Source organism: Homo sapiens, chromosome 17 (genome assembly GCF_000001405.40).
Source record: "Homo sapiens chromosome 17, GRCh38.p14 Primary Assembly".
In the NCBI taxonomy this organism is placed as follows: Eukaryota; Metazoa; Chordata; class Mammalia; order Primates; family Hominidae; genus Homo; species Homo sapiens.
The window spans coordinates 43,812,440-43,827,220 of NC_000017.11; the positions used below are offsets into that span (position 1 = coordinate 43,812,440).

Sequence of the window (14,781 nt, forward strand, 5' to 3'; positions counted from 1 at the left end):
TCTGAGACCTGCGTGATCTGCCCAACCTCTCAGCTCCATTTTCCAGCACACCATCCACACTAATCTCCCCGGTCCCCAACACTGCTCCGTCCCTTTGCACATGTTGTTTCCTCTGTAAAGAGAACTATTCCTTTCTCTTCTGCCTGGAAAACTCCTATTTACTCTTCAGAACCCAGCATAAAAGTCACTGCCTCTGGGAAGGCTTCCCTGACTCCCCCAGTTTCTAAAACAAAGGAGGAAAGTCTCCTATCTGTGGAGTGCCTAGAAGCAGGTGGGCCTGACCATCCAGGTACCTCTTCTCCAGGGGGTGGATCCAAGGGGTTCTGAACGATCAGTGTGTGAGCAACCTCTGCATGTCCTGTTTCAGTCCACCTGAAACTTGGAAGGCCGTGGCTCCCTGAAGCCCTCCAGGTCCATCACAGGTGTGCTGCCAGGATGGCCTCCCCAGGGCCACCACCTCCCCCACATCCCTGCCACTTCAGATTGGGCTGTGGAAGACAGCTCTGACAACCCACAGACTAGACGCTGGGCCCAGGGGCCCAGGGAGAGCGGTGTGATCAAAGCAAGGCTTCATGGTTGCTCTGCCCCAGAACACTCTGAGGAGGCCCCATTAGGGCCCCCACAGCACCCCTCTCAGTAGCCACCAGGCATTCACACTGCATCCCTCTGAGGCCAGGGGGACTGAGAGTGAGTCCCAGAAAGAAAAGGGGCAGCCAAGGGCACGAAGTGGGAGGCGGCAGGTGAGAGGCCATTGTGCATCCTCGTTAAGAACATGACTGGGGCAGGCTGCCTGGGTATGAATCCTGGCTCCACCACTTACCAACTGTGTGACATTGGACAAGTTACTTAACCTCTCTGACCCTCACTGTCTTCCTCTGCCACACAAGATGATAACAATCTCTCTTCTCAGGGGTACTGGGAGGGCTGACGCAGGGCACTACACATAAAAGCTCTTGGTGCATTACCTGGCACCTTCATTCTCCTCCTCCTCATCCTCCTTATCACATTCAGAACCAGGATCCTCTGCCCACTGGAGCTTGACATCCCAGGGTGCCCCTGGCAGCAGTAAGCCCCAGGAATTGGCAGGGGAGGCATCACCCAGGAATGTACCCAGCTACCCTGACAAACTGGAATCTGGCTATAAGGGAGTGCCGAGAAATACCACTCACAGGGCTCTGTGGCTTCTCTGACCTGCCCTCTCATCCAAGCAGAGGGCAGCGGCCACAGGAGTCAAAATTCACTGTGATGAGGAGGAATGCCCCCTACTGTGGGGGCCCCGTGGTGTCAGGTTGAGGCTGCCACTTTGCCTACAATGTGCTCTGGACTCATCTCCCACCCCAGGCAGGAACCAAGCAAGTGGTCCTCCAACTTCTGCCTCAGAGGGTCTCAGAGGACCACTGGGAGTGGATTTCTTCCCATCATGCCTTTGTCCCACAATTTGCCAATAGCAGGCAGTGCCTGGTGATCCTTTAAACCCAAAGTAAGGATTTGGATGGATCTGGGGAGTTAAGTCTCCATGGAATATTTGTGTGTGTGCAGACAAACACACACTCCCACATGGGCCCTCTTACGTGGAACAGCGACGCCAAAGTGCTGTGGGTTCTCAGCCACCACCTTTTGCTTCAGCTCGTGCAGTCGGGCTCCCAGAGACCCTGGGAAACAAGAAGAAGGCTGACCAGGGTCCCTGCTGAGCTCCCTCCCCACCTGCTCCAGGGAGGAAACCAGATCACTTCCTGGAAACCCAGGATGGCACCTACCGATCAGAACCACCAGGCGGGGCCGCTCTCCGGGCTGGTGTTGGTACCTGGCCACCTCTTCGTAAGTCAGCAGCTCCGGAGACTCAGCTCCGGAGGACATCTTTCCTTCCTGCGAGCCACCCAGTCTCTCCCTACAGCCCAGCCGGAAGCTCCTCCGAAGACCAGCTTGGGAGGAGGGGCAGAGGGACACCATGGCATTTGTCCCAGTTGTCCCAGGATCTCCCAGTAGAGACTTTTCCCACCTGGCCAGACCTGGAGATGGGACTGAGTCCCACTGACTTCTCCCAACCTCCTCCTGCTACTGGAAGAGGTTGTTCAGGAAATACAATAATAAGATGAAAGGGTGACCCCTGCATTCACAAACTAGGGCTTAAGGTCACTGTTTTACTTGGCATGTGACTGACCTTGGACAAGTCCCTTCATCTCTCTGAGCCTCAATTTCCTTACCTGTGAAATGAAGATATGAATCTACAACTACTATGTGTGGTCCTAGATTAGATCCTGGACCAAGGGAAAATGTCATAAAGGACATGATGGGGACAATTGTTAACATTTAAATAACAGCATATAACAGATTTGGATACATTTTAAATTCTCAGAATTTGATCACTGCCCTGAGAAAGTCCTTGGCCTTAGGAAATACATGCTGAGAGATTTAGGGTTAAAGGGACACGATGTCTACAACTAAGTCTCATATGACTCAGGAAAAAAAAATTCAGAGATGTGGGAAAGGAAATTGAGCAAACATGGCAAAGGAGCAACTGGTGAATCTGGGTGTGGAGTATATGAGAGTTCTTTGTATAATTCTTACACCTTTTCAGTAAGTTTGAAATTACTTCAGGACAAAAGTTAAGGGGCTGGGTGCAGTGGCTCATGCCTGTATCCCAGCACTTTGGTAGGCCAAGGCAGGCAGATCACTTGATCTCAGGAGTTCAAGACCAGCTGGGCAACATGGTGAAACCCTGTCTCTACAAAAAATACAAAAATTAGCCAGGTATAGTGGCATGCACCTGTAGTCCCAGCTACTAGGGAGGCTGAGAGGGAAGAATCGCTTGAGCCTGGGAGGCTGAGGCTGCAGCGATTTGTGATCACACCACTGCACTCCAGTGTGGGTAACAGAGCAAGACCATATCTCAAAAAATAAGTTTAAAAAAAGTTTAAAAACTTTTTAGAAAGGAGGATTGCTTGAAGCCAGGAGCTTGAAACCAGCTGGGCAACATAGCGAGACCCCATCTCTACAAAAAAAATTTTTTTAATCAGCTGGGCATGGTGTCAGATGCCTGCAGTCCCAGCTACTCAGGAGGCTGAGGTGGGAGGATTGTTTGAGCCTAGGACATTGAGGCTGCTGCAAGCTGCAATGTCACACACTACTGCACTCCAGCGTGAGAGACAGGGCAAAACCCTGTCTCTAAAAAATAACCAAAAAACAAAAAAAACTTTTTGCCTATCTCTAAGACCTTTGAAAAAACTGACCAAAACAAGTGAAAAGGGGCTCTGGAGAGCCGCAAACACCCCTCACTGCGTGGTAGTGGTGTTAATATTGAATAAACTCCAATTGCAATGATGGTGATAATAGAATTGGTATTAATGTAGGGGTGTGTGTGCCTTTCCCGCCAGGGCAGTGTGCCCCACAGCTGGGTAAAAGCTGGGTGGGGGCCCAATGCCTGGGCAGGCTCAGCTCCTGCTTGGGTTGAGAGAACTGAGGAGAGATGGGGGTCCCATAGGCTCCACTGCTCCAGAAGGACTCCTGGGGCTCAGATCACCCTGCTTTGACCTCTCCCTAACTCTGGGGCCTTGGGTGGGGCAGGTCGTGCATGTGGGTGTCAGGGGGAGCTACTTACCCACATAGTGCCCTTTGAGGTAGCCCTCACAGTCACAGGTCTCTGGGAAGCAAACAGAGGGAGGGAAGCCAGTGAGTCCCACCAGACACATCCGGCCCAGGGCACCCAGCCCCTGGATGGCCAGGCAGGAAGAGCCCCCTGGGATGGTGTCTCGTGGGGAGCTCAGGGGAAATCCCATGTCCTGGACACCCCAAGAAAGCAAGGTCCTCTGTTTTGCTCAGTTCTCCATGCTTAGGCCCCTAACAGCCTTTCCAGGCCCTGAGGGGGATTCTAGGCCAGCAGGCCTCCCCAGTCCCTGAGTGTGAGCAGTGTGAATAGGGAGGGATTCACTCCAGCCTGCCCTGCCCTCCCACCCCTTGTCTCCTATCCAGCCCCATCACAGCGTAGCCGAGTCCTGGAAAGGCTGGGCCGCACGTGTCAGGAGGGCAGGGAGGTGCCCCTAAGGCCTTGAACCCTGTCCCCACCAGCTTTGCCTGCCTCAAGGAACAGCCCAGTCCAGCTGGCAGAGCAGGAAGAGGTGCGCAGACAGTGGGAGGGGCACAGCTGCCCAGATAGGGAAAGAACACGAGCCCCTCAGGCCCCAGACGTTCCACGGAAAAGGGGCCACGCCTGTGGACAGCGGATAGATACTGGGCCTACCTTTGTCACAAGGCTGATCATCTGCGGTTTGCACAAAAGACAGATGGAACAGCATTAGTGGAGGGAAGCGGGGACCCTGCGGCTGAGGGCAGCCACGGCCCGAGTGCCTGAGGAGCCCGCCATCTGGCCTCTTTCCCTTTCCTCCAACGAACCTGTGATCTGAGCTGTGGTACGTTATTAAACCCCAAGACCTGCTCTAATTAGTCTTCTTGTATGTGTCTCATTAGCACCAGAGAAAGCCAGCTCATCAGTGGCACAGCAGCCTCAAGGCCACTGCCCTTCTAACCTGACAGCAAGTCTGGAAAAGTGGCCATTGTCAGGGGCCCAGGGAGCAGCTTACTCTAGGATCCTGCGGTGGGAATAGGACCCACTCTCTCTTTTCTGGGGTTGGAGTCTGGCCCTGGAAAACGCAGATGCCTGAGGATGGAGCGGGGTGGAGCAGAGCTGCAGGCCATCTGTGTTCTGGTCACCTGGCACCTGCTCAGGCCGCTCACTCGGTTACAAGTCTGCCCTCTAGTACCAGAGAGACCATGCTCTGGAAAAGCTTCCTCTCTGCACGGGGCCCTACCCTGGGGCTCTGATCACAGGCCTTCAGAAAATGTGACCCCAACTCTGCTCACTTAACCTTGTGACCCTACATATTCCCAGCTTAGAAAAGATAGCTGACTCTACCGACTTCACAGGGTTCCAAGAAGTAGGTGGACATGTTTTCTAAAGTGTAAAGTGCTACACGGTGTAGAGTTGCCAGATAAAATGCAGGACACCCACTTAAACTTGAATTTCAAATAAACAACAAGTAACTTCTTAGTATAAGTATGCCTCAAATATTGCACAGGACATACTTATACTATAATAAAAACTACATAAAAACATACTTATACTAGAAACCAATCTGTCATCTATCTGAAATTCAAGCTTCAACTGGGCATCCTTTATTTGTATTTGCCCAGTCTGGCAATCTGGCAGCCCTACCAGAGGCACCAGGTCACACATGGCCTTCTCCATTCCCTTCCAACGCCAGTGCTTCTTCCATTTTCAAGGTCAGAGAGCCCTTGGGAATCTAACGAAAGCTGTGGATCCTCACACGCACATGCACACGCGTGTGAACACACACACATCTGCACATTTTGGGAAAGCTGTTAACATACCCCCCAGCATCATCTATGGACTCCAAATATACAAGCTCCTCTCCAGGGACTAGCTGCCCCCCACCTCCTACTTCCCACCCCCTCCTTCCTCTGGAGTCCATGAGCTCAGACAAGACCCCTGATGCCCCCTCCAGCCCACTGCCTACTTCTTCCCAGCCTGAATCCTCCCTCGCCCTAACCCCGGGCCCTCCCTGGAGTGCCATCCCTGACAATCTACTCACAGGGGGGCTTCCTGAGGCTCTGGGGGCTCGGCAGGGTGCCCGCGGCTCTCCGGTAGCTTAGTCGTCTGCAGGGACACAAGGGGATGGGCGGGCCCGTGAGCTGGGCCAGATAACCACTTGAAAGGAACCTTCTGGAAAACTTGGGAAGCCAAGGCCTGGATCCCACAGGTGGGCACACACTGGACACTCTGAGGGCCTCCTGCTTAGCACTAAGTTCCAACGAAGGGAACACTTTCACAGGGCTCACTGGCTCACCAGGAGGAAGAAACTGAGTCTCTTGCTCCAGAAATAGCTCATCCAGCTCAAGATGGCCACACAGGATCCAGCCCGGTGTACAATCCTCAGCTGGTCATTACTCTCCTATGGCCAATTTCTAAGGAGAGGCAGCCCCTTCTCTACTCCCCAGCCTCCCCATCTCTGAGGGAGCTGAGAAATAGCAGAATGACTCCCAGGAGAGGCCGAGGACAGAAGTGACCCTAATTTAACACCCTCCCCTCAGCGGAAGGCTCAGCCCGGGCAGACTGTCCAATGTGGCCATGAGTGGAGAGGTGGGGCTCTCAGAGGTCACTAGATTTCCACATTTAAATGCAGCTGAAGGGCCGGGCGTGGTGGCTCACACCTGTAATCCCAGTACTTTAGGAGGCCGAGGCGGGAGGATCACTTGAGGTCAGGAGTTCGAGACCAGCCTGGCCAACACGGTGAAACCCCGTCTCTACTAAAAAATACAAAAAGTAGCTGGGCATGGTGGTGCACGTCTGTAATCCCAGCTACTCGGGAGGCTGAGGCAGGAGAATCCAGGAGAATCACTTGAACCCGGGAGGTGGAGGTTGCAGTGAGCTGAGATAGCACCACTACACTCCAGCCTGGGCAAGAGTGAAACCATGTCTCAAAAAAAAAAAAAAAATGCAGCTGAAGAGCTGTCCCCCACATCCTCTGGTAAGATGTTGCCAAGACCTGTGAACCCTAAAATGGAGATGGGTCTGGGGTTCCCGAGGAGACAGAGCTTCGTTCTCAGACTTCGGCATCTCAGAATCGCCTGGAACATTTGTTAGAATGTGAGTTTCTGGGCAGGACCCATGGATCTGCATTTCTAACAAGTCCCCAGGTGACGCTGAAGCCCCCAGCCAGGGGGCCACACCTTGAGGGCCACTGAAATGGGTGAACCCCAAGGTCCTGTCCTTACCACAGTCCACACACCAAAAGATGTGAGGGCTACAACCCACAGTGGAAGTCACAACTGCCACCCTCTGACCCAAGACTGACCTTCCTGGAAGTCTAAAGAAATAATTTGAAACATGAGGAACAGTCTATGTGCAAAGTAAGTAAGTACTGCAGCCTTATAAAAGTGAAGAATTGGGAACAACCTAATCGAAGTGCAGCCACAGGAAAGCAGTGAAATCACTTAGCTAGTTCCTCTGAGAAGCCTTCCCTGCATTCCTGGATGAGGGCGCAGCCTCCTAATATGAACTCACACAGCACCATGTCCTCCTCCCTTGCACCCATCACGTTTATATAAACTGTGTGTTTGAAGAGCGTCTGGCTTTTCCACTGAACTATAAGCTCCTCCAGGGCAGAAACCCTGGATTCACAGCAGCCCGCAAGATGCCAGCACAAGGCCAGCTCAATTCATCCTAAATACCTGCCGCCTAGGAATGAATGGCACAGCTCCTGATGAGTTAGTATACAGCCACTAAAATCACACTACAAAAACGATGCTATAATATGGAAAATACTCACGCCAAAAATGTTTAAAAAAAAAAAAAGCAAGACCCCAAATTCTGTATGCAACACTCACATAAAAAGCACAGTAAGGAAACAAACTATGCAGTTTAGATAAGGGTGAGACGTGGGGAATTTCCTTTCATAGTCCTCCTCTTCAGTTTTTTTCTGTTTTTTTGTTTTGTTTTGTTTTGTTTTTTGAGTCAGGGTCTCACTCTTACTCAGGCTGGAGTGCAGTGGTGTGATAACAGCTCACTGAAGCCTTGACCTTTTTGGGCTCAACTGATCCTCCCACCCCAGCCTCCCGAGTAGCTGGGACTACAGGTGTGTGCAACCATGCCCAGCTAATTTTTTATTTTTTGTAGAGACAAGGTCTTACTATGTTGCCTAGGCTGGTCTTGAACTCCTGGGCCCAAGGGAACCTTCTGCCTCGGCTTCCCAAAGTGCTGGGATTACAGGCGTGAGTCATCACCATGCCCAGCCTCTCTTCTGTATTTTTATATTTTGTTTATCAGCATTCTCTGAGCATGCATTATAAAATATACATTAACTTAGGCTGGATCCAGTGGCTCATGCCTGTAATCCTAGCACTTTGGGAGGTCAAGGCAGGTGGATCACTTGAGGCCAGGAGTTTGAGACCAGCCTGGCCAAACCCTGTCTCTACTAAAAATACAAAAATTAGCCAGGCATGGTGGTGCACGCCTGTAATCTCAGCTACTCAGGAGGCTGAGGCGGGAGAATTGCTTGAACCCGGGAGGTGGAGGTTGCAGTGAGCTAAGATTCGCCACTGCACTCCAGCCTGGGTGACAGAGGGAGACTCTGTCTCAAAAAAAAAAAAAATACACACACACACACACACACACACACACACACACATTAACTTAATAACATAAATTTCCATAGATTCCTTTAAATCTCAAATAACCATCATCACTAGTTATGGGAAAAGACCAAACACAAGTGCAACTGGTACTTACCTTGGGGGAACAATGCTCAGCAGGCCCCTCTGGCTGTGAGGGCAGAGACTTGGGGGTCTGCCATGTACCTGTGCCTCTGCCACTCTGGAACCAGCCCTTCACAACATACCCCAGACCCACCTCTCCTGGAACCCCTTGGAGGGGATGAGGCCGGCTCGAAGGTTGGTGTCCCCGACTCGCTTGGCCTGCCACCACGTGGGGTCGTCCTGGCTCACCACCTCCAGGACCTGCCTGCGCTGGAAGGGCAGGCCCGCCTCCTGGCAAGGGATGGCCCGGTCCTCCCGAGGGTTGTAGTGGAAGAGGGCGCGCATGAACACCTGCACAAGGAGGGCTCTGGTGAGGCGGCCCTTCCCCAAGTGAGCACAGACAGGTCATTGTCACATCAAAGGCCACATGACAACGACCATCCACACTTAGGAGGACCAAGTGGCCTTTCAAATAGAAAGCTACTTGGAAATACACTGCACGTATGTTCTTAACTGTTCTTCAACCATTTGGGATACTATAGTCAGGAAGTCCATCAAGAATCAGAAAATTAATAAGCCCCATGACTGAATGTCTCTTTCCTACCTAAATATTTCCTTATTTACTTGACCAGCTGTCCTCATAACAGCCTCTTAGCATACACACAGCAACAACTAATCCTGGGAACAAAAAGTAAAGGCAAGCACAATTTCTAACTCAAGTGTTATTTTTGATACGCCAACTGCGCTGACGGAAGGCAGCAGCCATCTGTTATATAAGTAATCTAGATGTTTGGGTAAGAACACAAATATCAACAAAACTACTGTTACTGACTCCTCACCATCACTTTTCAGTGGGTAATTGACACCCACAGCTCTTACGGCTCAATCCTGCCTCGTCTGCCATAGACTCGGCCAAGCCCTAATTCCCCCCTCTGCTCTAGAGTCACCCTCTCTGGAGAAGATGGTGTGAGGACACAGCATTTTTCACACTTCCTTGTTCTCTTCGATAATTTAGTGGCATGGATTAACTTTATTTATTTCTATTTTCAGACCATTAGGGCCCAATCACTTCAGTGGCAAACAGGAAAAAAAAAGCAATCAGGGGTCTTCCTCAGACAGATACAAACTCTATTCCTTTGTATGCCAACCAGAAAAGATTCCACTGGACAACAGTAAGAACTTTCTGGCATATGTTGTGGGGACAGATGCCCTTAACCAGCCACAGATGTTACCAGGGTCCTAAGCACTCAGAAGAATGTAATCTTAAGTGGCCAGCCCAAATCAAGCATCTGGATCAAGAAGAAATATTCAAGAAGGACAGGCTGGGGGACAGGCTACTCATTTTGTCCTTTAGGAAAACCAAGTTCTCTTCCTCAAAGAGGTTTCCTCAAGTCAGAACCCTCAAAGTTGCATGTGCGGACCACATTCGCTTGTCCTAGGAAGAATCACTTTCCACCAGGTAAGAGGAAATATTATGCCCTGGGATTTAACCAAAGAGCACAAATAAGAAACAGCTATATAAAGATTATTTCTTCACTTGCTGTAAAAAACTGTCATTGAAGACGTAGTCCATTACAAATCCACATTCTTCAAAGTATCGACTGACATCTCCTCTGTGCTAGATGCTGTAATGTTTCTTCTTTCATGCATTAAGTACTGAGAGGCAGGTATGGGAATGTCTTGAAAAACTGGCATGCTTCCTTCCATTCTCTGCTCAACAGTATGTAATTCATTATGCTCTCCTTTTTGCCTTGGCTGCCAGGAAACTCTACTATGAAATCAAAGTGATGCCCTCCTCTCTATCTCATCAACCACCATCTCACAGTTCAGGTCTTAACGTCTCACCTGGGCTTTTACAAGAGCCTTCTACCAGGCCTCCCTGCCTCCAACCTCTACCCACTCCACCCTCCTCCCCGTGGCTGCCTCACGGAGCTTTCTAAAACACAAATATAACTGCACCACTCCCATCCTAAAAAAAAAAAAAAAAGAGCTTATTAGAACCTATGGGATTATCTCTTGGGCTGTGGGATGCCCTCCCATATGCCCCAGGGCTGGACCATTCAGTGCAGCCTGGGCTGACTTCCAGCTGCCAGCACCTGCATCTCTTTGCCTAAGGACTTACTTTCTCTGGCCACTGGAACCTACTCATCTCTAGTCCAGCAGGCAGAAGTTGCTAGGAATTAATCCCCCGGGTGCAGCCTGGCAGGAGTTGGTATATAGATCGCCCAGCTCCCAGGGCCCCTGGGTGGGATGATGGAGGCGTGTGTTCTACAGGGGAAGAAGTAGTTCCCCAAGTTCCCAGCAGGACTAAGCTCCAGCTGCCCATAGTGGTAACCTGCTTGATAACACACCCTTAGTCAGATTGGCTGTCTTCCCTTTCCCAGTCCTGTACTGGTATTTCCTGGGGCCACTTCCCAAATAAACCATTTGCATTCAATCCTTGTCTCAGGGTCAGCTTCTAAGAGGCCCCACACTAAGCAAGGATTATGCCAAAACCCTTAACAAGGCATTCGAGGCCATTCAGAACATAGGCTTAACCCACCTCCCCAGCAAAACCCACCACCATCCTCCCCTCAAAGCCCCACCACATAGCCCTTAACGTGCTCCTCTCCAGAGTGCCAGGGAGCCTCTGTATGGGCAGACCCCACCAAGGTCCTACTCGTCTTTACCTTCTTCAGGCCTCAGTTCCAACACCCCCATTCTGTGACACCCTCTAGGGTGACTGTAACTCTTTGTACAGAATCTTGGCAAAGCACTTATCACATAGCAATGAAAGACTTGCTGCCCTTCTGCACCAGGAAGCCTTGCAGCTACCAAGAGTCCCTGTCTCCAGCATCTGGCAGAGTGCCTGGCACAGAGTAGGTGACCAAATAAGGCAGGCTCAGCAACAATTAAACAAATGGCAGTTGCTTAATTGGTTCAGAATTCAGCACACTTGGTACCTTCTCCTCCTCTTCATGGCCCTGAGTTTCTATTTCAATTAAAATAACCTTGTCTTTTATTAGTAAGCCACGTCAAATCCTGTTTAGAAAGAGGCAGGATACAAACAAATGCATCACTTTGTGACGGAATTAAAGTCCTCCACTGGGCACAGATTACTAGGATCAGATCTATGATCTGTTCGCAAATGACTGTTACAAGAGACTGGACTGGATCCAGCCCCCAGCCAGCGAGCTGCATCTCTCAAGCTGAGAGAGGGCACCGCGGACCCACCTCCCCATACCTTGCTCTCCTTTAAGCGATCTTCCTCCTGGGTGGCTGGGATGATTTTTAGGGTGATGGATCCCTGGGACTGGGCCTGAAACGAAAGAGAACAGAAGCTTCTCGCCTACCAGGTCTAACCCTCCAAGAGTTCAACTCCTACTTCTCAGGCCTAAAAACTGATGTTCAGAAAGTCAGACTTGCAGCCTCCCCTGAGGCCCACTCTTCTAGGATGGTGCCCTGGTTGAATGAACTAAAACAAAACTCAGTAACCAAGTAACTGTACATTTTTGTATTTTTTAGTATTTTTATTATTTTTAAGCCAGTTCAAATTTAGCAGTGGCGGGTTGGTAACTGTATTTTCAAAAGTCAAAGGGACGGAAGACTTTCCATGAGAACCCAAGGACACTACGTGTTGAATTCCAATTCTCCATCCCTCCTGACCGCTACGGCCCCAGAGGGCTCCCTTCCTTGCTTTTCTCCTGGGTCATCTGAACAACCCATTTCGGTTTCCTTTGCCTCTTTCCTGCCTGATTTGGGGCTGGTCTCTGATTAATACTTCCCTCTTTGCTTCCATCTCCCCAGTCTCAGGCCATGCCCAGCTTTCTAGGAGCTCCCTTCACCCTCATCTACAGAGACCCTGTAGCCCAATGCCAGGGGCCCAACAAAGGAAGAATGCAGTCGGACCAGGACAGCAGGGCCCAAAAGATCACCTCCTGGCCTCTCCACTACCCAGAAAGCCCAGACCCTTGCTCTGGAGCACAAGAAGGTTGGCACCCAAAGCCACAAAAAAGCAAGCTTGGGCAAAAGGACTGAAGGGCCTGCCTGCAATCCGCATCCTCTACAGAGAGGGCTTTATTTTGTTGTTGTTTTTTTGTTTTTTGAGATGGAGTTTTGCTCTCATTGCCCAGGCTGGAGTGCAGTGGCACGATCTCGACTCCCTGCAACCTCCACCTCCTGGGTTCAAGCAATTCTCCTGCCTCAGCCTCCCAAGCAGCTGGGATTACAGGGGCCCACAACCACACTCAGCTAATTTTTTGTATTTTTAGTAGAGACGGGGTTTCACCATGTTGCCCAGGCTGGTCTCGACCTGACCTCAGGTGACCCACCTGCCTCGGCCTTCCAAAGTGCTGGGATTACAGGTGTGAACTACTGAGCCCAGCCCAGAGAGGGCTTTAAACAGTGGGCCTCCTCTTTTCAGATCTCATCCTGTTTCTGCCCCCAAAACCATCAGAAGTTAGCAGAGTGTCAGGTCAGGGGAGGAATCCTGAGGATAAAGGGGACCAAGCTATGATTGGGGCTTTTCACAATTTCAGTTTTGACTTCAACTCCCCAGAATGGACCATGGAGGTTTTCAGCCAAGCATTTTATACCTTAAAATCCCCTTACACTTCTGAAGGGCTTTACCCTTTTCCAGATGTTAGCATGCCAATGATAACCACACATTGGTTGAGAAAGAAACTCTATCCCAACGTTAAAGGAAAGGAAATGGAAACTCAGATGATCTGATGGCTTGTCCAAGGTTGCACAGCTGGAAGGAGGCAGAGCCAGGATTCACACCCAGGACCCAGGACCCAGGAGGGGCCTTGTGAAAGGGAACCAGGGGAAGGAAGGAAGGCTGTGCTGAGGAGAAGGTCTAAGAGAGGCAGATGGAAGGGAAGTTCCCCTCCTCCTGCTGCCACCCCATACCCCGGGCACACTGTTAGGGGCACACCATAAGGCCACTTTGCCTGCCACCTCCTCAGGACAACAGCAAGGCTAAGCCAGAATCTGTCCTGGCTCCAGGAAGTGCCTTGCTCTGGGTGTCTGAAGACCCAGCACATCCCTAGCAGGCTTGTAGCACGGACCAGAATCTGGCTGATCTCGTCGGGCCGCTTGTGCAGGACTGCGATCCCGTTCACTTCTCGGAGCTCATCTCCAACGTGGACCAGGCCTAGGAGACACAGGGACTGACCATCAGCACAGGAGGAGGACCTGAGCACCCCTCGCTCAGAGCTCCAAGCACCACAGGGGCCGGCCTGAGAAGCCCACTGCAGGGCCAACTCGAGGTTTAAAGTTGATGGGTGGGACTGGGGCGAACTAAGCCCTGCTAAGTGCTGGGCACCTCACTCGGCATGCAGGGCTCAAATCACCCAGTAAAATCTCCAATTTACAAGTTGGCACCTGAGACCCAGGAAGATTAAGCAGCTTGCCTAAGGCCACATTGCTGAGAAATAATGAAGCCAGTATTCAAACACAGTTATTATGATGTAGAAAGCCTGTGTTCTTTTTGCTATAATCTCTGCTTCTTTAAAATTATCATTAACTCTTAGAATGGCATTCTTAAGTCTTAACAAGGAAAGACAAAGGCACCAATGAAGACATCATTAAGAGTGTAAACACACTATGAGCCTCTGCCTGAATGACTAATGTCTCTGCATATTAGGGCCCTATATGCTACTCAAAGTGGGCACTGGCCCGGCTGCATCAGCATCACCTGGAGGCAGGTTAAAAGTGCAGAATCTTCGGCCTAGCTCAGACCTGCTGAATCAGTCTGCATTTTAACAAGATGCTCAGGGAATTCGTGGACTCGTTAATGTTTGCAAAGTGCTGGTCTAGGATTCTCTGCAACGATGACCCCCCAGACTTTGGGGGTAACATCGCCCTATACCAGGAGGTTTGTCTCCCAGCTTAGTAGCTCTTCCACACACCGGTGATTCTCAACCTTTCTACCCAAACGAATCTGGGGCACAAACACTCTCTTTGTAATAGTAGCTTGACAAGACCTGGGATGGTGGGGAAGGGTGTCAACCCTGTCCCACAGTTAGTAATCCCGCAAGCCCATGCTATATTCTTAACTGTCACAGTCCTTGGACTAAACCAACGCATGAGCTTTTTCTCAATCACCCCAAAGTACTCCATGACTATTTATATATATATATATTTTTTTTTTTTTTCTTTTTTTTTTGAGACGGTCTCACTGCGTCGCCCACTCTAGAGTGTAGTGGTGTAATCACGGCTCACTGCAACCTCAAACTCCTGGGCTCAAACAATCTTCCTGCCTGGGCCTCCCGAACAGCTAGGACTACAGGTGTGGGCCACCCGTGCATGGCCTATATTTTCTTTTTCTTTTTTTCTTTTTTTTGAGACGGAATTTCACTCTTGTTGCCCAGGCGGGAGCGCAATGGCGCGATCTCGGCTCACTGCAACCTCCACCTCCCAGATTCAAGCGATTCTCTTGCCTCAGCCTTCCCAAGTAGCTGTGATTATAGGCATGTGCCACCAAGCCTGGCTAATTTTGTATTTTTAGTAGAGATGGGGTTTCTCTGTGTG

General features: G+C 50.6%; 1 protein-coding gene across 19 annotated transcripts in view; it reads right to left on the reverse strand.

The window, feature by feature from the left end:
- MPP3 (MAGUK p55 scaffold protein 3) overlaps positions 1-14,781 on the reverse strand; it is a 32,336-nt gene that overhangs the window by 11,629 nt on the left and 5,926 nt on the right. For 4 of the 19 annotated variants that reach the window (NM_001932.6, NM_001330233.2, XM_006721915.3 and 1 more), the window contains 8 exons: positions 13,317-13,402; positions 11,492-11,566; positions 8,423-8,619; positions 5,607-5,671; positions 4,238-4,258; positions 3,599-3,640; positions 1,758-1,922; positions 1,572-1,652 (listed from right to left, as the gene is read on the reverse strand). In NM_001932.6, coding sequence (NP_001923.2) covers positions 1,572-1,652; positions 1,758-1,922; positions 3,599-3,640; positions 4,238-4,258; positions 5,607-5,671; positions 8,423-8,619; positions 11,492-11,566; positions 13,317-13,402 — 732 coding nt within the window. Of the gene's footprint in view, positions 1-1,571; positions 1,653-1,757; positions 2,205-3,140; positions 3,641-4,237; positions 4,259-5,606; positions 5,672-8,302; positions 8,620-11,491; positions 11,567-13,183; positions 13,403-14,781 lie in introns of those variants that run through there. The other 15 variants (NR_148342.2, NR_148344.2, XM_047436103.1 and 12 more) reach the window with 13 other exon arrangements.